This window comes from Homo sapiens, chromosome X, assembly GCF_000001405.40.
Source record: "Homo sapiens chromosome X, GRCh38.p14 Primary Assembly".
NCBI lineage: Eukaryota > Metazoa > Chordata > Mammalia > Primates > Hominidae > Homo > Homo sapiens.
The window spans coordinates 134,847,810-134,871,513 of record NC_000023.11 but is presented as its reverse complement, the minus strand read 5'-3'; the positions used below and the strand labels follow the sequence as shown (position 1 = coordinate 134,871,513).

Below are 23,704 nucleotides of genomic sequence, written 5' to 3'. Positions count from 1 at the left end.
GTGGTATGATCATAGGTCACCATATCCTTGAACTCCTGGGCTCAAGAGATCCTCCCGCCTCAGCCTCCCAGTGCCCTTGGATTACAGGCATGAGCCACTGCACCCAGCAACAGTTTTTTTATGGATCCTTCCAGAGATGTTTTATGCATATGCTAGTAAAGAGATTATAAACTACTCACAGTGTTCTGCACCTTGCTTCTTCCATTTAACAATATATTCTGGAGATCATTCCATATCAGTACATAAAGATCTTCCTCCTTTTTAACAGCTACCTAGCATTCCATTTTATGAAGCATAATTTATTTAACTAATCAAATTACTACTGATGGACTTTTAGGCAGTTTCCGACCTGTTGCCATTACAGACAATACTGCAGTGATTTGCCTTATACATTCATCTTGCACAAAAGCAAGTAAGTATATCTGTAGGAAAAATTCCTCAGAATGGAATTGCTGGATAGAAGGGGGTGTGCATTTGTAATTATGATAGCAGTTGCCCAGTGGCCTCCAAAAGGTAAGAGCTGTTTGAATGCTGTCTACACCCTTTCATTATGCACAGTTTCCTTGCTGCTCCTTTCCTCTTACTCCAAGGGTCAAGGGACCACTTCCACATCTCAAATTTAGAAAAGCCCCTCCGAACTTAGCCTCCTATTGGTCTCCCTCAACCACATTTTGGGCCCCACACCCACCAGCCTATCCTTCCTCCTCTCTTCTTTTCCAGAGACCATCAGCATCCTCCTGCCTTCCTCTCCTCTTTCCAAGTCAGCCCCACCATCGGCCATTTTAGCTCTGCTAGCGTTGATCTCCCGGACTCACTCTCCCCGTGACCTTCGGCAGCACCTGCTCTGCCAATCCCTGGCCCTGTGAAAGCCCCACCATACATTCTCTCCATTGCCTGCTCCCAGGCGGCTAGCTGTTGCTGGAGAAGGTCATGAAGTTGGCTCCACTACAAAGCCAGGCCAGCCAGCCTCAGCTGGGCCCCAAGGGCTGCAAGGCAGTCCTTTTATATATCAAATTTCTCTCAGCAATTGTTCCAACTCCTCTCCCTCTCCTCATATCCCCTACCCCATCCTTGTGCCAGACCCCTTGGTACTGGGCCTGGCTTTGGATTTCAATGACAGGACATAGGTTATCAAGCAGGAACTCCTTCAATGTCCCCCTCTTCACCTCACTTTCCCCCACTTCTCTGCACATTCACCCATGCCTGTTCATCCACCCACACCACCTTCATGAGAAGGAGGTACTTCCTCCTCAAGGTTACCCCTTCCAGTTGTGTCCTTGGCACTATATTCTCTTGCTTTCTCCTACACTCGGCCCCAGAAGCCATCCTCTTTCCCTTTGGGCAAGCTCTTCCTCCTCACTAGTTTTTTCCTCTCAGCCTAAAAACACTTCCCTCATATCTGTGTCATTGTTCCACATCACCACCAGACTCTTTTTTTGTGATGGAGTTTCGCTCTTGTTGCCCAGGCTGGAGTGCAGTGGCGTGATCTCAGCTCACCACAACCTCCACCTCCTGGGTTCAAGCGATTCTCCTTCCTCAGCCTCCTGAGTAGCTGGGATTACAGACATGCACCACCACGCCCGGCTAATTATGTATTTTTAGTAGAGACAGGGTTTCTCCATGTTGGTCAGGCTGGTCTTGAACTCCTGACCTCAGGTGATCCACCCGCCTCGGCCTCCCAAAGTGCTGGGATTACAGGCGTGAGCCACCGCGCCTGGCCTGGACTTTTAAAATTTAGCAATTCATGTGGCTCCTGGCTTTACTTCCTCCTTCCATGTTGGCCCCCAAATTTAATAGTAAAATCTGAAATACTGACAAGTGAAAAGGAGAAAATCAAAATTATTCACAATGCCACCATCCAACTATTGACATATTCATGTATTTCTTTTCAATCTTTTTATATGCATATATATATATATATATATATATATATATATATATATATATACATTTACGTATTTTTTACAAAATTGGACCATAGTATAAATACTGGTTAAGTAAATGCACTTCTTTGAGTGAGTCCATTTCCTCCTGTGTAAAGTGAGGACTATTATAGTAACTACCTCACAGGGTTGTTATGAGGATTACTCGAGATAAAAATATAGAAAAACACTTATCACAGTGACACATAGCAAGTTGAATTAACGTTAGCTGTTACGATCTTCCCACGTCAACAAATATAGCTCTACATGAGAATGTAATGAGTTCTGTCACTGCAGTGTCTAATAGGAGTGACTAAAGCACTGCAGTGACTCACCAACACACATTCATTTGGCACAAGAGCAAGTATATCTGTGGGATAAACTCCTAAAAGCAGAATTTCTGGGCCAAAGGCTATGTGCATTTGTAATTTTGATAGATGTAGTCAAATTGCCTCCATCAAGTGCAAGTTACTATGATTTCTTTAACTTACAAAGAAGTAATGAGGCTGTTTCACATTTTTAACTGATACAAACCCAGACCATGAAGAACATTCTTATAACTGGATCTTTGCATAGATCCACGATTATTTATCCAGAGGAGAGGAAAGAGTATGAGTAAGGGCACAGAGGTGGAGGCTCAAATGATGTGCATGGGAAACTGCTAGTATTGATGACTAACAGAGGTGAGAATGGCAAGAGTTGAGGAAAATATAGTGGGACCAAATCATGAAGGACCGTGAATGTCACTGTCATTTATTCAGTCAGTCACCAAATCTTTATTGACCACCTACTACAGACCAGGTACTGTTTTAGATACTTTGTTCACTTACTGAACAAAAACAGAAGATTCCTACCCTGGGGGAGCTTACGTTCTGGCAGAGAGTGGCAAACAATATATGGAATGTTAGAAGGTGATAAGTTCTACAGAGAAAAGGAAAAGTACAGCAGGCCAAAGGGGATCAGGAGTGCTGAGAGTTGCGATATGAAGTACAGTGGCTACCCCATTGTGGACTTTGAACATACTCTACGATGAAGAAGTAGGCGTCACTTATACTTATCACCAACTTGCCACAATCCACATACCTGATAATCTAATTATTCTCCTTAAATCAGCTTACCTCCCCTACTTAGATTTATTTCAAAGGAAACTTCACAAGACTAGCATAAATGGAAACCCAGGATTGCTGTCACAAATGTCTAGAAAGGGAAGACCTTTCTAGAGGGGGCCGAGGCAAGAGGATCACTTGAGCCCAGAAATTCAAGACCAGCCTGGGCAACATAGGGAGACCCCATCTCTACACACACAATTTTTCTTTTTAATTAGGCAGGCATGGTGGCATGAACCTGTGGTCCCAGCTACTTGGGAGGCTGAGGTGAGAGGGTTACTTGAGCCCAGGAAGTCAAGGCTGCAGTGAGCTGTGATTGTGCCACTGCACTCCAGCCTGGGCAGCAGAGTGAGACCGGGTGCGGTGGCTCACACACGTAATCCCAGCACTTTGGGAGGCTGAGGCAGGTGGATCACTTGAGGTCAGGACTTCAAGACCAGCCTGGCCAACATAGCGAAAACTCATCTCTACTTAAAAAAATACAAAAATTAGCCGGGCGTGATGGCATGCTCCTATAATTCCAGCTACTCGCGAGGATGAGGCAGGAGAATTGCTTGAACCCAGGAGGCAGAGGTTACAGTGAGCCGAAATCATGCCACTGCACTCCAGCCTGGGTGACAGAGCAAGACTCCATCTCAAAAAATAAAAAAATAAAAAATAAATCAATACATAGAAAGGGAAACTGGAGAGTACCTAGCGCTGGCTTCTTCCCTTCCTTTTGTAGGTCAGTTATTAAATAACAGCAAAAACAAGCACTTACCAAATTATGTACTTATTTTCCAGGTAGCTTAGGGTTTTACATGCAGCAGATAATTTCATCTTCACAATGACCCTATGAGGTAGGTACCTTTATTGTCCCCGCTGGTTTAGGAAGAAACTTCGGTAAAGTGACTAACCTTCCCAAACCTCAGTTTCCTCCTAAATAAATGGAGACAATAATGGGAATACAGGAGAGAAGAGCCTATTAGCTTCTCCCCACTCCATGTCATGCTTAGGGGAGACTTGGAGAGGGGACAGGAAGGGGACAGAGGCTCCCTGCTGCAGCATTCCCTGACTGCCTTCCCAATGCCAACAATTGAGATTAGAACTAAATTACTGCTTTAAAACACCTCTCCCCAGAGTTAAATTTATTAGTCACTTTAATTTTCCTATGAAGAACTTTAATCAGAATGTCCAAATTGATTTCAGCCTTGCTAGGATGGGAGGTTTTGATTAGAAGAGGGGAAGATGATGTGCCTTGGGAGCATAGGCCCTTTTTTGGAAGAGGTCAGAGCAGGGTAGATTCTGAGCTGTTGGGGGTCGGGAGCTGGAGGGAAAGAAGCAGCAGAAAGCAAGGTGGAAAGAAACTAAAGACGAACCCTATCAGCTTCAGCTGTCTCTAATTCAAGTCCTTTTATGGAGGAAGCAGAATCTAACTGACAATAAATAATACATCATTAGAGAGACAGCACCTTGGTCCTGTTAACCTGCTTAGTCTCTCAAAGTATACTACTGCTATTCGACTTCCTGAGAAGTCATCTTTGTATCTTAAAAAAAAAAGTCATTTTCATCCATAGGAAATAATATTGGATTCCGAACTACTCGGTCAAAGACTTTGAGCCAGGCCAGGTGCAGTGGCTCACACTGGTTAATCCTACCACTTTGGGAGGCCGAGGGATCACTTGAGCTCAGGAGTTCAAGACCAGCCTGGGCAACATGGTGAAACCCCATCTCTACAAAAAATAACAAATTAGCCATGAGTGGTGGCATGCACCTGTAGTCCCAGCTACTTTGGGGGCTGAGGTGGGAGGATCACTTGAACCTAGGAGGTTGAGGCAGCAGTGAGCCAAGATCACACCACTGTATTCCAGCCTGGGTGACAAAGTGAGATCCTGTCTAAAAGAAAAAAAAAGAAAAAAAGACTGTGAACCAGAGATATGTCTTTCTCTGGTTTTAGTTCTCATTGAATAATGAGAATTCCACGAAGTCACACAGACGAACCCACGTTCCCTGAAAGGCTTACTTACAATCAAGAAAAAGTCAATATAATGTAGTAACCCTGGAATGTGAGCATTGGAGTAGATGAACCCATGTGTAGAATAAATATTTTTAAATCGCTTAGAGGAAATTGGAGGGTAAGGAAAAGCTTCTTATGGAAACTAAAAAGCTAAGAGTAGAAGGGGTTAGATCGATGGTGCAGGGCTGGCATTGCCTAATGACCCCTCATAGCCCACAGATGTGATGGGTTATGTAGGCTCTGTGACACAAAGGAACACAATGTTGGATCTGTTCAGTGTGGACCATCTAGGAGAGGACAGAAATCCCCAAAGGCAAGCACATTATCCCTGATTTCACAGTTAAGGAACGGAAACATCAGATTCCTTTCGCTGACACCCTGTTGAATGGGGGACTTCATTATCTACTACACAAATGCCTTCCCTCTCCTGCCCACATTTGGGGAGCCACAGACAAGATTCAGACAACCCTGGCCCTTATGCTGGAGTTTCAGTTTGGTAAAGTGTGATTAGCAAAAAGCTTGTTGCTTGGTAACAATGTGCTCTTATAAACCCTTAGATCTTGGTATGATGAAATAGACCAAGTACATCTATTGTTTTATTTTGCTTTGCTTTTTTATTCATTTCTTGTCACCAAGATCCAAAGGATGATACCATGCTTTGTGGCTTTCCAGATATCCGCCACCCCTAACCAATAGGACATTGGCAAGTATCTATGAAATCAGATTCTCTTCCTGTCAGTAAGTGGGGGAGTTCAGGAGGCCACTTAGATATATAGTATGTCACTGATCACTGGAACTTCAGCAAGTCACAGCCTTTCTTTAATTGAATATGCTTTTTCACAAGTTTCTAAGTTAAATAAAAGAAGTAGAATGTCATATGAAGCTATTCCTAAGAATTTTAGGAGACTCTAGAGAAAGGTCAGTTTATTCTCTAGATCACATTAGATTTTCTTTTGAAGGAAGTATGCCATTTAGCTGATCATTTTAAATAGTAATGAATAATTGTGTCTGGTTAAATACCAAGGCCCAAGATCTATAAATTAAATTCTTTAAAAACAAAAATAATCTGATTGGTCAGAAGCAGTGGCTCACGCCTGTAATCCCAGCACTTTGGGAGGTCGAGGCGGGTGGATCACCTGAGGTCAGGAGTTTGAGACCAGCCTGGCCAACATGGTGAAACCCCATCTGTACTAAAAATACAAAAATCAGCCAGGTGTGGTGGCATGCACCTGTAATCCCAGCTACTTGGGAGGCTGAGGCAGGAGAATCGCTTGAAACCGGGAAGCGGAAGTTGCAGTGAGCCAAGATTGTGCCACTGCACTCCAGCCTGGGCGACAGAACAAGACTCCGTCGCAAAAAAAAAAAAAAAAAAAAAAAAAAAAAAATTAGATCAACATTTTAAATAAAATAGACATATTTAAACATATTCCCTCACGCTCATTGATGTCTTTCTTTTGTCAAGCAACGTTTAACACAGCAAATTATTTTGAAAATCAGGATCTCAAAATCAAAACATTGTTTAAAAGAGCTACATATATGAACTACATAAATGAACATGCACTGCCGGTAGGGATATAAAATGGTAAAATCACTTGGGAAAACAGGCTTCTAATTTCTTATAAAGCTAAGCATGCATTCACTATATAATAAAGCAATTCTAGTAGGTATTTACTCAAGATAAGTTAAAATATATGTTCACACAAAGGCTTAAACACAAATGTTGATAGCAGCTTTATTAGTAACAACTCTCAACTGGAAATAACCCAAATGTCCATCAACACATGAATGGATAAACAAATTGTACCATATATACAGTGAAATATGATTTGGCAATAAAAAGTAATGAACTACTGATGGAGGAAGCAACACAGATGGATCTCAAAGACATTATTCCAGGCAAAAATAACCAGACACAAAAGAGTACATATTGTGTGATTACATATATATGAAGTTCTATAAAAAGAAAATCTAATCTACAGTGATGAAAAGTAGATCAGTGTAGCCTGGAGCCAGCAGTGAGTGTGGAGGAGGATTAACTGCAAAGGGGCAGTGGACATTTTCTGTGGCAAAGGAAATGGTCTGTATCTTAGTTGTAAGCTTAAAATGGCTGCAATTTGTACTACGTAAATTATACCTCAATAAAATTGATTTTAAAAGCTGCATAAGGCCGGGTACAATGGCTCACTCCTGTAATCCCAGCACTTTGGGAGGGTAAGGCAGGAGGATCACTTGAGCTCAGGAGTTCAAGACCAGCCTGGCCAACATGTGAAACCCTGTCTCTATTAAAAAATACAAAAATTAATCCCAGCTACTTGGGAAGCTGAGGCAGGAGAATCACTTGAACTGAGGAGGCAGAGGTTGCAGTGAGCCGAGATCATGACAATGCACTCGAGCCTGGGCAACAAAGTGAGTGAGACTGTCTCAAAAATAAAAAATAAAAATAAAAATAAAATAAAAGCTGCATAAATATAAAACTTCAAAATTGAAGATTTAAAGTTATTTCTGCTTAGCAAGCATGAAATATAAAGCATCCTGTGTACGAAGATGCAGTACCTACAATTAAGCAAGTACTCTTTTGAAAAACTAAGCACACAGGCCCATATGCATGGTGGAAGTCGTTGGGCTCAGTATTATTTGGAGCTGGTGCATATATTTATCACACTTTAATAACAAGTGCCTACTATGTAGGAGGAATGGCAAAAAGAATAAAAAGCAAAGGACTCATTAGGCTGGTAAGAAGATCAGGGTGTACACTGGGTTTAGCAGGAGAGCTGAGAACATGCCAAGGACAAGAAATGATATTCTACACATCACCATGAACCCCGGCCTTTCACTATCATCTTGTGGGGTGCCTCTCAGTTGAGAGGCCAATCAATCTGCATGCAGCTTGACCTTGTCTAACTCAGCTCTAATGTTGATCAAAAGCCAGAAAAACTGGTACCAACGACTGGGACAAAGAGTAGAAAATGGTATAGGACAAGAGATTCTTCAAATTCCTTGTCCAAGCTACAGAGAATCCTTTGCCTTCCCCATCAGTAGAGAAGCTCTCTCATTTTTTTTTCAATGTTTGGTAAAAAGTTCTACTAATGTTTTAATAATTGCAGGAGGCTGGATGAGAAATTGATCTGGAAAGCTTTATCCATCTATATAACCTTAGAAATTAAAAGATGGAGGGATAGATAATTGAGTGTCTCTCATATAATCTTAATTTTTTCATTATTATTTTTCTTTCTTTTTTATTATTTCAGTCCTGCTCCTTCTGCATAATCATAGGATAGGATTCAGAGTACAGTCACACTGAACTGGGAAGTATTCCGAAATTACTTTTTAGTCAGAGAACTCTAACACAACAATTTATAGAAACTGAGAATGAAATGTAGAAAAAGGGTGGAGTGTTGTGGTCATTTCTGAGTGCCACACTTTAAACATATTGATAAACTGGAAAATGTCCAGAAGCCAATGGGATAGTATCAAGGTCTGGAAACTATCTCAAAGAAAAAAAGACTGGAATGGAAAATCTAGAGGAAGAAAGATTTATGGAGACATGATAGCCATTGCCAAATATCTGAAAGTCCATCTATTGGAGAGGAGATGGGTTTTGCTTATTTTGTGGCATTCCCTAGGACAAATTAGGACCAAAGGATGGAAGGTAGATTTTGGTTCCATATCAGAAAGAATGTTTAAATGAGTAGAGCTTTCCAACAGTGAAAGACTCTTAGACTTTAATTCAATAAAAGCTTAAATAGAGGCAAAATTCTGGATCCTCTCACCCCATCTCTTACAAAATTAATAACTGCATATGAGTTTCTAAAATATATTTAACTTCTATTGTTTCTTGATTACACAAGTAATAGACAGTCCATGTGGAAAAATCTGAAAGTACAGACAAGGCAAAGAGAAAAGCAAATAAAAATAAAAACCATCAACTTTCCTACCTCCTAGAAACTGTAAGTTTTTGGCATATAAGCTTACAGAATTTTTTTCTGTTATATATCTACATAACATATATAGACACATACACTTCTTAAAAACAAAAATGAGGCAATGTGTGGTGGCTCACGCCTGTAATCCCAGCACTTTGGGAGGCTGAGGCGGGCAGATCACCTGAAGTCAGGAGTTGGAGACCAGCCTGGCCAACACAGTGAAACCCTGTCTCTACTAAAAATACAAAAATTAGCCGGGTTTGGTGGCGGGTGCTTGTAGTCCAGCTACTCGGGAGGCTGAGGTAGGAGAATCGCTTGAACCCAGGAGGCAGAGGTTGCAGTGAGCTGAGATCATGCCATTGCACTACAGCCTGGGTGACAAGGGTGAAACTCTGTCTCAAAAAAAAAAAAAAAAAAAAAAAAACAGCCAATAAAACAAAAAAACAAAAACGAGATCCCATTAATCACACTGCTTTTTAACTTTACAATCTAGTGTAAACATCTTTCCATGTCAAGTGATATATGACTATGCCATCATTCTTCATTGTTGCCAAGATTTCCATGGAATGAATGTACTGCAATCTATTTTAACCCAATGTTTCCCAAAGGGTATTCTATATAACATCAATCCCACAAGCTGTCCCTTAACAAGAGAATGTGGGTTAAACAGTTTGAAAATGCTTCATACCACATCCTCTTTCTTGGGCTTTCAGAATGTTAAACAAACAAGTCAACTGAATTTTCCAAACTTACTTGACCATGGACTTCCCCTGGACTTCCTCTTCAATTCTTCAGGATATGTGTACTTATTCGCATTTTATTAGGTTGGTGCAAAAGTAATTGCGGTTTTTGCCTTTAAAAGCAAACCTTTACTTTTTTTTTTTTTTTTTTTTGAGGCGGAGTCTCGCTGTGTTGCCCAGGCTGGAGGGCAATGGCGCTATCTCGGCTCACTGCAAGCTCCGCCTCCTGGGTTCACCCCATTCTCCTGCCTCAGCCTCCCTAGTAGCTGGGACTACAGGCACCTGCCACTGCGCCCGGCTAATTATTTTTGTATTTTTAGTAGAGAGCAAACCTTTACTTTTAAAGGCAAAAACCGCAACTACTTTTGCACCAACCTAATAAAAAGCACCCTGAGAAATGCGAATTTAACTGATCTTAGTGTAACTACACATTAGTTGTTGGTTTTTTAACATAAAACTTACTATTTTAACCATGCTTAGGTATACAATTCAGTAGCCTTAATTACATTCACAATGTTGTGCAGCCATCACTACTATTTCCTTTTTTTTTTTGAAACAGGTTCTCGCTCTGTCTCCCAGGCTGGAGTGCAGTGGCGCCATCTCGGCTCACTGCAACCTTCACCTCCTGGGTTCAAGCGATTCTCCTGCCTCAGCCTCTTGAGTAGCTGGGACTACAGGCACCCACCACCACACCCGGCTAATTTTTGTATTTTTAATAGAGAAAGGGTTTCACCATATTGGCCAGGCTGGTCTCCAACTCCTGACCTTGTGATCCGCCCGCCTCAGCCTCCCAAAGTGCTGGGATTATAGGCGTGAGCCACTGTGCCCAGCCCAAACCTTTTTTTATCACCCCAAACAGAAACTCTGTACCCGTTAATAACTCCCCATTCCTCCCTCCCTCTAGTCCCTGGTAACCTGTAATCTATTTTTTGTCCTTATGAATTTGTCTATTCTAAATATTTCATATAAGTGAAATAATATTTATCCTGTTTGTGTCAGACTTATTTCACTTAGGATAATGTTTCGTGCTTCATGCATGTTGCAACATGTGTCAAGACTTCATTCCTTTTCATGGCCCAATTTCATTATTTTACATGTGACTACTCAGTTGCCCCAGCACCACTTGTTGAAGACAGTAAGTTTTTTTTCATAATTGATTTTTTCACATTTACAAATAACATTACAATAAATATCTTTTTCAACCTATCCCGTATTTTTCCCTAAGAAAAATTCCTATAATTGCTATCCCCAAAGAGATGCACTTTTTGAAGGCTTTTGATACACACTACCAAACTTCCTCATTAAAGGACAATAGGACTCCACCACAGTAAATTCAAACACCACTTTCCCCACTCTCAACAGCCTTGTATATTATTTAAAATTTTAAAAATTTCTGCTAATCAATGTGGCATGGGTGTATTCCAAATCAAGTTGAAGGGTCCAGGTGCGGTGGCTCCCGCCTGTAATTCCAGTACTTTGGGAGGCCAAGGCAGGCAGATCACTTGAGGCCAGGAGTTTGAAACCAGCCTAGCTAACATGGAGAAACCCTGTCTCTACTAAAAATACAAAAGAATAAATGAGCATGGTGGCATGCGTCTGTAGTCCCACTCAGAAGACTGAAGCACAAGAATCGCTTGAACTGGGAGGTGGAAGCTGCAGTGAACTGAAACCACACCACTGCACTCCAGCCTGGGTGACACAGCTAGACTCTGTTAAAAAAAAAAAAAATTTGAAGTTTTAGCTGAACTTCCTTCTTCCTTCACAGCCCTACCATGCTGGCCTCAGTACCATCCTTTCCAAAGACCCCACTCTTATAGAGTTTAATGTAAGTCGAGTTAAGGAAGCAAACTAAACCCTTCCTCTCAGAAGAGGGAGACTAGAAATGGAAAGTATAATTAGGTTCCTCTGCTGGATAATGTAATTTTAAAGTATTTCCTTTCTCAGAACAAAGTCACAAGCCAGCTACTTGCAACTTTCAAGTTTGTCTGTTTTTGTTGGTGTTCAATGCAGAGTTACCAAGCACAAGAGCCATGCCAAGAAATAAACCAACTTAACGTACCAACTTAACGTCAGAAGGCTTTTCTTATTGCCATATAATAATTATCAAGGAAAAAGAAAAAGCTCTTTTACTGGTAGTCTGCTTTTTAGTGTGAATTGAGCACTTCTGAATTTGTATTGGGATGATGTTTTTATAGTTGATGTAGCTTTTGGCCATGTCTCTCTTGCTTCTCTGAAACAAACATACCAAGCGTATCTTTGTTTTGTCTCAAGTTGTTGTTACAGTACAATGAAAATTTTATGGTGAGTGCTGTGTCAGGGGGAACTTGTTATTAATATGGAAATCCTGAGAGGATCATTTATTCACACAAAACAAGAAACCAGGGGGAAATTAGCTTTCCATATTTCATCATAAATCATTCATAATTCAGAAAAGAGAGGAAACTATTGATGAAGCTAAGTAAAATGAGTTTCTTGTTGCCAGAAAGAATAAAAATATTAGGTATAAAGCTCTCTAATTTCCTAAATATTTTAAATGCCACCATGACTTTTACTGTCATACTAGCAAAGATGAAGGCAGATGTTTTCAGAGAATCCATAAAATTTTTAGAGGCAGAAGGGACCTTATAAATAACTAGTCTGATCTGTTTTACATATTGGATTCCTGAAGCCCAGAGCAGTGAAGTGACCTGCCCAAAGACCCACATAGCTAGTGGCAGAACTGGAGCTACAAGTCAGATCTCCTGACTCCTATACTTACTAATAATGTAGTTTGGTCACTCTCCCAAAAGGCTGACATGAGCATTTATGTTACTGATTTACTTTGCTGTCAGTAAAGCCACAGAAATCTCCAACTGCACATATGTAGCTGTTGGACAACTTATAGGATTTAGTTAATGACTGTATTCATTTAATGCATTTCTTCTGAGAGACCATGGTCATCAAGTCTCCCTTTAGTAAGGGGGTTGAGCAAGTTTCCGGGATTCCTATATGATGTATGATTCTCTCCACCTATACGTTATAGACACTTGTGGAAATCAATCTTGTTTACCCTTGGGTTAAGAACTACATTGTAAGAAATCTGCGAGACATTACGGAATTTCAGGAAAACGAAGTTACGTATTTGCTGGGGTACTTATGGTTCCCTGACCTTTTCTAAATGCACAATTGTAACTATCCAACAGTGAAGTCTACCTATATGATAGATTTTTCAAGCTCGACTTTTAAGATCTAAAATATTTAAAAACACTTCAGGCAAATTGTAATTAGTTTTCCCCACAGATACCTAAGTATCATACATGCATTTTCATCTTGGATATTTATATATAGCTGCTTCTAGGTGAATTTTCAAAATTCATTTAGGAGATGAGATTAAATATATCCTGTAGTGGGAGTACTAATAATTCCAGGAGTAGGGACAAAGATTAATGCAGAATTAGAACCTTAACTCATGTGCTTTTAATAGCTCATTTGATTTGTCTCAATTCTAAAGAGCCAATGAAACAGGCCACCTAAATACAAACTCTACACTCGTCCCCCCTTTTAATGTTAGAGACTTCTAAATATTAGAGCTGTCCAACAATACAATGAACTGTCTTGTGACAGAGTCCATTCATTCTTACAAGATTTCAAACTAAGGCTAAAAAATAACCTGTCTGGAATTCTTAAAAGGATTTCTGCATTGAGAGGTAGATTCAAAGACTTCTAAAATCCCTGAATACTAAGATTACATGATCTCAGTATTATCTTTATATCCTATTTTTACAGTAAAAGTGTCTTTTCTTATGTGTATCTATAGTCATGTTATGATAGACTATCTTGTATCATTATTTTTGTATTTAGTTATCCTACTTGAAGACAGATAAGGTATCTCACTCATCCTCATATATCATAAAAGTTTTAGTACAGTTTCTTGTACACAGAAAGTATTCATTAGATATTTATTGAATATATTTAAAATTATAAATGTTATTGGTTGATTTAGTAATTATAAATTTTAAAAACCATATATATATTTTCCTGATCTGAGGACCCAACTCATTACTACAGTGAGTTTTCATGTTGAATATCAGTGAATCATTAGGGTAAATTTGGAGCACTGCTCTTTTATAAGATTATAAGTAAAATAGGAATACTTGATTGAACACATATCTAAGGTTTAATAATGATGCTTTATAGTCACCTCTTGTTCTCACATTTTTAAGACGAGTTATAGGAGAGACAATTTTAAAAAACTAATTTAGGAAAGATGAAACAAGCAAAATCAAAATTCTAAAATTATACCATTGTGTGTTAAATTGTGTCCTCAAAAAGGTATCTTGAAATTCTAACCCCCAGGACCTGTGAATTTGACCTTATCTGGAAACAGGGTCTTTGCAGATATAATCGAATTAAGATGAGGTCATATTGGATTAGGGTGGGCCTTAAATCCAATGACTGGTTATCTTTATAAGGCCATATGACGACACAGGACACAGAGAGAATCACAGGATTCTCTCTGAGGCAGAGATTGGAGTGATGTATCCGTAAGCCAAGGATTGCCAGCAACCACCAAAAGCAAGGAGAGAGGCAAGGAATGGATTCTCCCTCAGAGCTTCCGGAGGCAACCAACCCAGGTGACTCCTTGATCTTAGGCTGGTAGCCTCCAGAACTGTGAAACAATAAATTTCCATTGTTTAAGCCACCCAGTTTTTGATGCTTTGTTATGGCAGCCCTGGGAAACTAATGCATGTCCTTCACTATAGAAAACTGATATGATAATTCTTCAGCATGTTTAGGAAGACAAAATATAGCCTTACCATAATTTTTTTTTTCTTTGAGACGGAGTCTCACTCTGTCGCCCAGGCTAGAGTGCAGTGGCGTGATCTCGGCTCACTGCAACCTCCGCCTGCCGGGTTCCAGCGATTCTCCTGCCTAAGCCTCCTGAGTAGCTGGGATTACAGGTGCCTGCCACCACGCTCAGCTAGTATCTTGTATTTTTAGTAGAGACAGGATTTCGCCATGTTGGCCAGGCTGGTCTCGAACTCTTGACATCAGATGACTCACCCACTTCGGCCTCCCAAAGTGCTGGGATTACAGGTGTGAGCCACTGTGCCCGGCCGCCTTACCATAATTTAAAAAAATCAAACACAGAATAGCAAGTAAAAGTTACAATCATTTTGGTCTTAAAATCAACAATAAATGGAAAATCATTTTAGAAATGGATCCTCCCAATACACAAGCTCAAAAGGTAACAGAATGGAGAACCAACTATGGAATCCCTGAGTCTGAGCATATTACAGTGAGTTGTGGTATCCTAGTGTACAGCTAAATCAACTAACTGAATAAAAACTAACTGAATAGGGCTGGGTGGGGTGGCTCATTGCCTGTGATCCCAGCACTTTGGGAGGCCGAGGTGGGTGGATCACCTGAGGCCAGGAGTTCGAGACCAGCCTGGGCAACATGGCGAAACCCCACCTCCACTAAAAATACAAAAATTAGCCGGGCATGGTGGCATGCGCCTGTAATCCCAGCTACTCGGGAGGTTGAGGCAGGAGAATTGCTTGAACCTGGGAGGCGGAGGTTGCAGTGAGCCGAGATCATGCCACTGCACTCCAGCCTGGCAATAGAGCGAGACTCCGTCTCAAAAAAAAAAAAAAAATAACTGAATAGAGGGAAAGGAATTGTCTGAGTTGAGAAAAGTATATTGAGATAGTCAAGATTACCAAGATTTGCTGATAAAAGTTCCTTATACAACTGAGTGGTAGTCTTATCCCCATTAGTTACTTTCTGCATCCTTAGTCCTTGTGCTTGAACATTCTGCGAAACTCTCTTTGGCTAAGGTGTCAATAGTACATGTGAACCTTTGTCTGTCAATGATCTACAGTTTCAGCAAGAAACATCACTGCAACCACACCTCATTCCATGAGGGGCCCCTCTCACAACTGGTCCACTAAAGGGCTGGCAAGTAAAGAAGCAAGTAACAAAGGCAATATTTATAGTTTCCTTGTTCTTAGCCAATTTATAGAATCCTGTCCCAGTTTCAAGAGACCATCATGATCCTAGTCATTTTATAAATAGTTGGTTTCATCTATTCATAATTGAATAGAATCTTCTCCCACTTATATATCAATTCTGATCAGTTCCATCAGGGTCACTGTCAAAAAATTGTTAGTGGCACAGTCTTTTTCCCATATGGCAGCATACCCACATCAGATTTCTATCATTCTGATTCTTTCCGATGAAAAGAAAAAAAGTCTTTTATACGTATTTGAGATAACTGTTCCTGTCTTATTAGCTGAGGCAATTTAAACCATTCTCAGCTTCATTTCATAAGAGTATGTTTCTATTTTTCAAAATGCTAATACTACCCCCAATTACTTAAAGCACATATTTTAAATTTAATTTTTTTTTTTTGAGACAGAGTCTTGCTCTGTTGCCCAGGCTGGAGTGCAGTGGCATGATCTCGGCTCACTGCAACCTCCACCTCCCGGATTCACGCCATTCTCCTGCCTCAGCCTCTCGAGTAGCTGGGATTACAGGCGCCCACCACCACACCCAGCTAATTTTTTGTGTTTTTAGTAGAGACGGGGTTTCACCATGTTAGCCAGGATGGTCTCGATCTCCTGACCTTGTGATCCACCCGCCTTGGCCTCCCAGAGTGCTGGGATTACAGGCATGAGCCACCACGCCCAGCCTAAATTTAAATTTTTTAACACATAATTTTTCCTATTTAAAAAAAAAAAACCCTTAAGATTTTCGAATAGAAAATCAGGGTTTAAACAAACATTTATAGACCTTAGGGAACAACTGGAAGCACATGATTTTCGCAGAAAAGCCCTGACATATTAAGCCTGTATTTAATCAAATCGGTAGTCATGATGATGAATAAAACGTAAGTGATAAAAATGTAAAAGACTACAACTTATCAACATTTTCCCACACTTAATTAGAATACAAAATTAATCAGGGTTAATCAGGTTGAGTACAAATTGAGTGAAGCCTCAATTACATATTATTTTCTTTCTATTCAATTAACTTTAATTTGTCTTGCTCTTCTCCTACCTACTGCTTCCCAACAAATTGAATATCTAAGGATTCATGTGCAAAATAAGCAATCCTTGGATCAGTATGGTATAACTTAGTCATAAAAATTGCCTTTGATATGTGACTTTTCTTTACCAAGTGGAAGCTAGTAGTTACTGAAAATAGCATTAAAGACTAGCATGGATCATTAAGTACATAATTGTCAAACATCATTTTACTTTGTTAATTGAACAATTATATTTTATCAGAATTATGTTTCATAAGATTATTTTAAAAAGTCAAGGTACAGCATTTTCTAGAAAATAGCAGCCTAACAATTTACGCTTGTATCTTCAACATGGTTCTGATTTGGAAAACATCTTTAACATGTTATTACATTAAATTTAAGGATGTACACAAGAATTATACACGCAAGTTCTGTAGATAAATAGAATTTTAGGAAATTGAGGAAAAAAGATAAATAGGAGATAGTTTAAATTATACAGTACAATTCTCATTGCTCTGACTTGGTTTGCTTGATGTGTGTGTTTCTCCACTGGTGAGAAAGTCTTGGGATGGGTGAATCATTTAGTTGAAAGTTTGTCTACTAGAACAAATGAGAACCAGTATCAGAAGGTGACACAGGAGAGTTTGTGACAGTGCCGATTTCAGCTGACGAATTACCAGAAGATCCAGCATTGCTGTCGTTTCCATCAAAAGTAGCTGGAAGTAGACTAGAAGAAGAAAATGCCACTCATTGATAGCAGAACTCAAGAGATCTCTCTGTATACTCTGCTTTGTCTACACATGAATGCAAAATACATGACTAACAACTGGCACTTGTCACAAGCAAAGTTTTTTAAGAGTCATACAATGAAACCACCAGTAACAATAAATAGAAATCCATGGCCAGGTGTGGTGGCTTATGCCTGTAATCCAAGCACTTTGCAAGGCCAAGGCAGGTGGATCACGAGGTCAGGAGTTCAAGACCGGCCTGACCAATAAGGTGAAACCCCATCTATACTAAAAATACAAAAATTAGCCAGGTGTGGTGGCACACGCCTGTAGTCCCAGCTACTCAGGAGGCTGAGGCAGGAGAATTGTTTGAACCCAGGAGGTAGAGGTTGCAGTAAGCCGAGATGGTGCCACTGCACTCCAGCCTGGGAGACAGAGCGAGACTCCGTCTAAAACAAAACAAAAAAAAAAAAAGAAAGAAATCTATTCCAGTATTTCCTATTTTTATCATTAAGACATGCTTTCTTAGGCATGCTTTTCAATAATACTCTCAACCCAACAAGGTAGACAAAAATCCAAGGAAGATGGGCAGAAGATGACTTTTTCCAAGGATGCATTTTTATGTATTTCTCTAATATCTCTTAATCTAATGCCAAAATCTCACTTCTAAAAATGTATCCACCATATATTAGTGTCACACACATCTCATAAGAAAAACACTCTGCCAGGTGACGTGACTCACGCCTGTAATCCCAGCACTTTAGGAGGCCAAGGCAAGCGGATTGCTTGAGCTCAGGAGTTTGAGACCAGCCTGGGCAACATGGAAAAACCCCATCTCTACAAAAAATACAAAAATTAGCCAGGCGCGGTGGTGCACAGCTACTGTGGTCCCAGCTACTCAGGAGGCTGAGGTGGGAGGACTGCTTGAGCCTGGGAGGTGGAGGTTGCAGTGAGCCAAGATTGTGCCACTGCATTCCCAGCCTGGGTGACAGAGTGAGACCCTGCCTCAGAAAAAGAAAAAAAAGAAAATAAAATAACTCAGGTTTATAGTATCCACTTGGAATATTAGTTTTAAAACTTCTAAGAACAGTTAATAATGTACCATACTTCTGAATACGTACAATAGCCAAAGTAGACTTAACAACGAAGCAAAAATGATCAATGAATGTTTAAAATCTCATGTTAATACTCACTACACATTATTTTCTGACAGTTGGGAAGTATCAGAAGAAAGCATGTTGGTTGTGCCTTGGAAAATCTTTTTTGGTTGATATTGAAATGCCATTTCACCTATGACAATACAGCAGATCAAGGTAGATGTTTTATTTAACATGTTTATTATTATTTTAATTGCAAAAGTAATACTTATTCACTGCAATTAATTTATAAAATACAGAAAAGCACAAAGAAAACAATTTTAAGTAATCATTATCCAGACATAACCATTCTTTAGTAATTTTTGAATATGTTGTATACACAATTGTTTTTTAAATAAAATTGGGTTTGTACCGTATATAATGTTTTTAGATTTACTTTTTGTTTTCAATGATTATAATTTTCTTATATTATTAACTAAATTCTATAAGATGATATTATTATTATTATTATTATTATTTTGTGAAGAAGTCGCTCTGTCACCCAGGCTGGAGTGCAGTGGCATGATCTGGGCTCACTTCAACCTCCACCTCCCAGGTTCCAGCAATTCTCGTGCTTCAGCCTCCAGAGTAGCTGGGATTACAGGTGCAAACCACCATGCCCAGCTATTTTTTATATTTTTAGTAGAGACGGGGTTTCACCATGTTGGCCAGGCTGGTCTCAAATTCCTGGCCTCAGGTGATCCACCCACCTTGGCCTCCCAAAATGCTGGGATTACAGGCGTGAGCCACTGTGCCCGGCCTGCAAGATGATTTGATATAGCTATGTAGTAAGGCTGTTTAATGAGTTTAATGTCATTCCTTATTTTAAAACTTTAGGTTGTTGCTATCTTTATTTTGCTAAATGTACACAATGAACTAAATAGGTAAGTTCTTTTACAGCACACAATGAACAAAATAATTGTATCTTTAGAGATTAAGGTAGAACATCTAATCTCAAAAAAAACAACAACTGCATTTTTGTAATCTTTGCCTTGAAGTAAATGTTAAAATCTGCACAGTGTTTCACATTCATATGATAATCATTTCTGGACCTGAGCAAAACTGACATTCAAGCCCATAACTTCTATTTGAATGATAAAACCCTAAGGTCACCATTAAGATATTGCATAGACCTTCCACAGAAGTGTAATCATGGCTCATAAAGTTTAAAAGAAGTCTGGTGTCCCGTGCCTTGCCAGATTACATTTATGTCACTACAGAAAAACTACTCAGCTCTCTTTTTTGGTTTAACATTGAAAACATGACAAATCAAAACATATTCCTCATAAAAGAAAATTAGATCTTTCTTTGCTAAAACCAGCATTACTTGTCAAACGATATTTATAGCTGCCCAATTTCTGCAGTATTCCGATGTGAAGGCTTATTTGCTCTCGCTTATTCCTTTTTTTTTTTTTTTCCAGACAGAGTCTTACTCTGTTGTCCAGGCTGGAGTGCAGTGGTGTGATCTCGGCTCACTGCAACTTCCGCCTCCTGGATTCAGGCGATTCTCCTGCCTCAGTCTCCTGAGTAGCTGGGATTACAGGCACACACCACCACCCTTGGCTAATTTTTGTATTTTTAGTAGAGACAGGGTTTTGTCATGTTGGCCAGGCTGGTCTTGAATTCCTGACCTCAAGTCATCCGCCCGCCTCGGCCTCCCAAAGTGCTGGGATTACAGGCATGAGCCACTGTGCCCGGCCCATGCTCTTGCTTATTCCTAATGGAAGTCACTGCTGCTTCTCACCATAAAATATGACATCATATGCTTTGGAGACTCTAATCTTGATCTCACTTCACATAATCATCATTCTTTTTAGTTCCCCCCGCCCCCTGCCTCAGGACCTCTCTTTTATTTTTATGGTACCTTTCTCCCACATTTCATTTGTATTAATGGGGTCCAAATAGGACATAGTTTGTTGTTTCCCAAATGAATATGCATATTCCAAAATATATGAATAAATTTCAATTTCTGTTTATCTGTTATTGTATCTGGCCAAAAATGGCCAAATGAATTTTCAGCACATTTGTACAGGGCATGCTTTGGAGGGTGGGGTATGACTGAAAATATGGACTAGGTGGTATATACAGAATTCGCTTTGGAGTTCCCTCAGGGACACCTCAAAGGAATAAGGCAGTCGTCTTTCAGAGCAGCTGAAAACCAAGTGTGAGACAGGTCACATCTCCGAAGACACTGGGCAGAAACTACATCTTTTATGTTAAAATTGATCTATAAAAATAATTTTTCAATCATAAATTCTAAGAAAACTCGAGATACTTTTCATGTGATAACCTATTTATGTATACATGTCTCAAAAGGAGAACTATTTTAATCTGGTAAAACACTCCTCAATTTAAGCGTACTTTATTTTAAATACTCAATTGACCCTTGACTTCTAACAGCTCTTAAACTGCTGATATATTTGAATATTTTTTCAACACTAGCCCGAATTTCACAGCACAGGTAAAAGACCCCTAAGCTTAGTAACCGAAGCATCTTCATAAAACAATGTGCTTACTTTGGAAAAGAGTATTTTCCAGAATTTATCTAGCCCTTAATCTTAGAATACAAAAAGTACATGCTGAGTTAGTTATGTTGTTAGGAAGACTGCCATTAATTAATCGAAAATATACAAAGAACATTAAAGCATATTTCAGTTTCTCTCCTCTTATTCTTCTTACTCCTCTTTCTTACCTTAATAGATTTTTCACAATACACATTTTTAAGTTTAATCTCCTTTCCTATTCACCCATTTCCCCTCCCCATTGTAGTCAAAAATTGTACTAAATATACAGGCTTATGCTTGCAATCTCAGCACTTTGGGAGGCCGAGGTGGGTGGATCACCTGAGGTCAGGAGTTCGAGAACAGCCTGGCCAACATGGTGAAACTCTGTCTCTACTAAAAATACAAAAAAATTAGCTGGGCATGGTGGCAGGCACCTGTAATCCCAGCTACTGGTGAGGCTGAGGCAGGAGAATCGCTTGAACCCGGGAGGAAGAGGTTGCAGTGAGCCAAGATTGTGCCACTGCACTCCAGCCTGGGTGACAGAGCAAGACTCTGTCTCAAGAAAAAAAAAAAAAAAAAAGGAAGAAGAGCATAATTTAGTGAGGTACCATTGAGAAGTGGGATCCAGGATTGCAGGAGTTTTTAAAAAAGACATCTTTCCACTGCCCTTTTATTCTTTCCACTGCCCTTTTATTACTGAGTAGGTGGGTCACTTTCCATATATTTAACCAAAAATAACTCCCATAAAGAAACTAAACACCAAAGAACATACACCTTCATATATATTTTTAGTGTTGTAAGTGGATCTAATTTGTGTCAACTTATTCATATGATAGCAATGTGTGTGTGTGGCAGTGAGGCAGGGGTTGACATTCAGCAAAATACTTGATGACTGACTCACTCTGTTCATTCATTCATTTATTCTCTACATTGTTTTAGAAAGTAATGAAGATAGCTACCTTGGTGAATTATATTGAAAATCCTAATAGCCAACTAAATTGGAATTAAATTTCTCAATTCACATTTATATAGCATTTTAGAGTTTTCAAAATGTCCTTATACATATTTCTAGTTGCATAAAATGAAAGGCCTCTAATAGCTTATTAAATATATTTTAAATAAATAAAGCCTTTAAAAATACATTTTTGTATAACATTTGATTTTAGATATTTTATAAAATAACTTAAAGTTATATTTACTTCTACTGTTAGATAAAAGTACCTTTTCTTTTTAATGGTCCAAGGATACTTGGTCTAATAATGTTGGTAGGATTTTGACTTCTTCTAAAATAAAATCATCATGATCATTATAAGAAATTTTTTTTAACAAAATCAACAATGACTATTTCATTATAACAGATCTAAGGACATACACAAAAACGGGACTCTGTGTAGGATATTACATCATTTTACTGCTTTTCTTTGTTTTTATTTTTACTTTTTTTCTGAGATGCAGTTTGGCTCTTGTCACCGAGGCTGGAGTGCAGTGGCGTGATTTAAGCTCACTGCAGCCTCCGCCTCCTGGGTTCAAGTGATTCTCCTGCCTCAGCCTCCCAAGTAGCTGGGATTACAGGCATGCACCACCACACTCGGCTAATTTTGTATTTTTTTAGTAGACACAGGGTTTCACCATGTTGGCCAGGCTGGTCTCGAACTCCTGACCTTAGGTGATCTGCCTGCCTTGGCCTCCAAAAGTGTTGGGATTACAGGTGTGAGCCACCATGCTCGGCCATTTTACTGCTTTTCTTTACATATGGGTAAAAACTGGAATGCCTTAGGAGCAAACTATCTTCTAATTCTCAAGGATTCAGGATTTTGAATCCTAGAGTCTACAAAAACCTACATTCCTGGCTGGGACTTGCCTTGAATGAAGGTGAGAATCACGGATGAAGTTGTTTAAAGTTCTAGAGATAGCTCTGATCCTTATTAACAAACTTGGTTAGAGAAAGATTATGTATTAGCAGGGTGAAGGAATTACTAAATTCTTCTTATGTTCTTAGTCACCTGACTTTTTCAATATACAAAATGATAAACTGAAACAGTGACTTTTTTTTTTTTTTGAGATGGAGTTTTGCTCTTGTTGCCCAGGCTGGAGGGCAATGGCACGATCTCAGCTCACCACAACCTCCACCTCCTGGGTTCAAACGATTCTCCTGCCTCAGCCTCCTGAGTAGCTGGGATTACAGACATGCACCACCATGCCCGGCTATTTTTGTATTTTTAGTAGAGACGGGGTTTCTCCATGTTGCTCAGGCTGGTCTTGAACTTCCTACCTCAGGTGATCCACCCGCCTCGGCCTCCCAAAGTGCTGGGATTACAGGCAGGAGCCACCGTGCCCAGCCGAAACAATGACATTTTAATTTCCCTAAAAAGAAGTCACTTCTTTGGTTGGCACAAAACTTGGAGCTATAATTTCTTTTAGGTTTCTATAATTCTTATTTTATAAGCAATTTGGTATTTTCATATAACATAAACTTACATGATGTATTGTTGCATAGGACTGGGAATAGGACTTGAAGGCGAACCAGTGCAACTCACACAAGTTTGTAATGATGGAGAGAAACACTGCTAAAATCAAATTGGAACAGAGGTTTTAAAACCGCCACTTTTCTCGGAAAGCAGATCATTGGTTTCCTAGGGA

The 23,704-nt window shown here is 39.6% G+C and overlaps 1 protein-coding gene across 24 annotated transcripts in view; it reads right to left on the bottom strand.

The window, feature by feature from the left end:
• PABIR3 (PABIR family member 3) overlaps nt 6,743–23,704 on the bottom strand; it is a 68,408-nt gene continuing 51,446 nt past the window's right edge. For 6 of the 24 annotated variants that reach the window (NR_158606.2, XM_005262382.2, NM_001388447.1 and 3 more), the window contains 4 exons: nt 23,543–23,631; nt 22,286–22,347; nt 18,618–18,714; nt 16,682–17,423 (listed from right to left, as the gene is read on the bottom strand). Coding sequence is in view for 22 of the 24 variants with exons in the window: in XM_005262382.2 (XP_005262439.1) it covers nt 17,297–17,423; nt 18,618–18,714; nt 22,286–22,347; nt 23,543–23,631 (375 nt within the window). In the remaining 2 variants the exon portion in view is untranslated. Of the gene's footprint in view, nt 7,226–16,681; nt 17,424–18,617; nt 18,715–22,285; nt 22,348–23,542; nt 23,632–23,704 lie in introns of those variants that run through there. The other 18 variants (XM_047441877.1, XM_005262383.3, NM_001170779.3 and 15 more) reach the window with 10 other exon arrangements.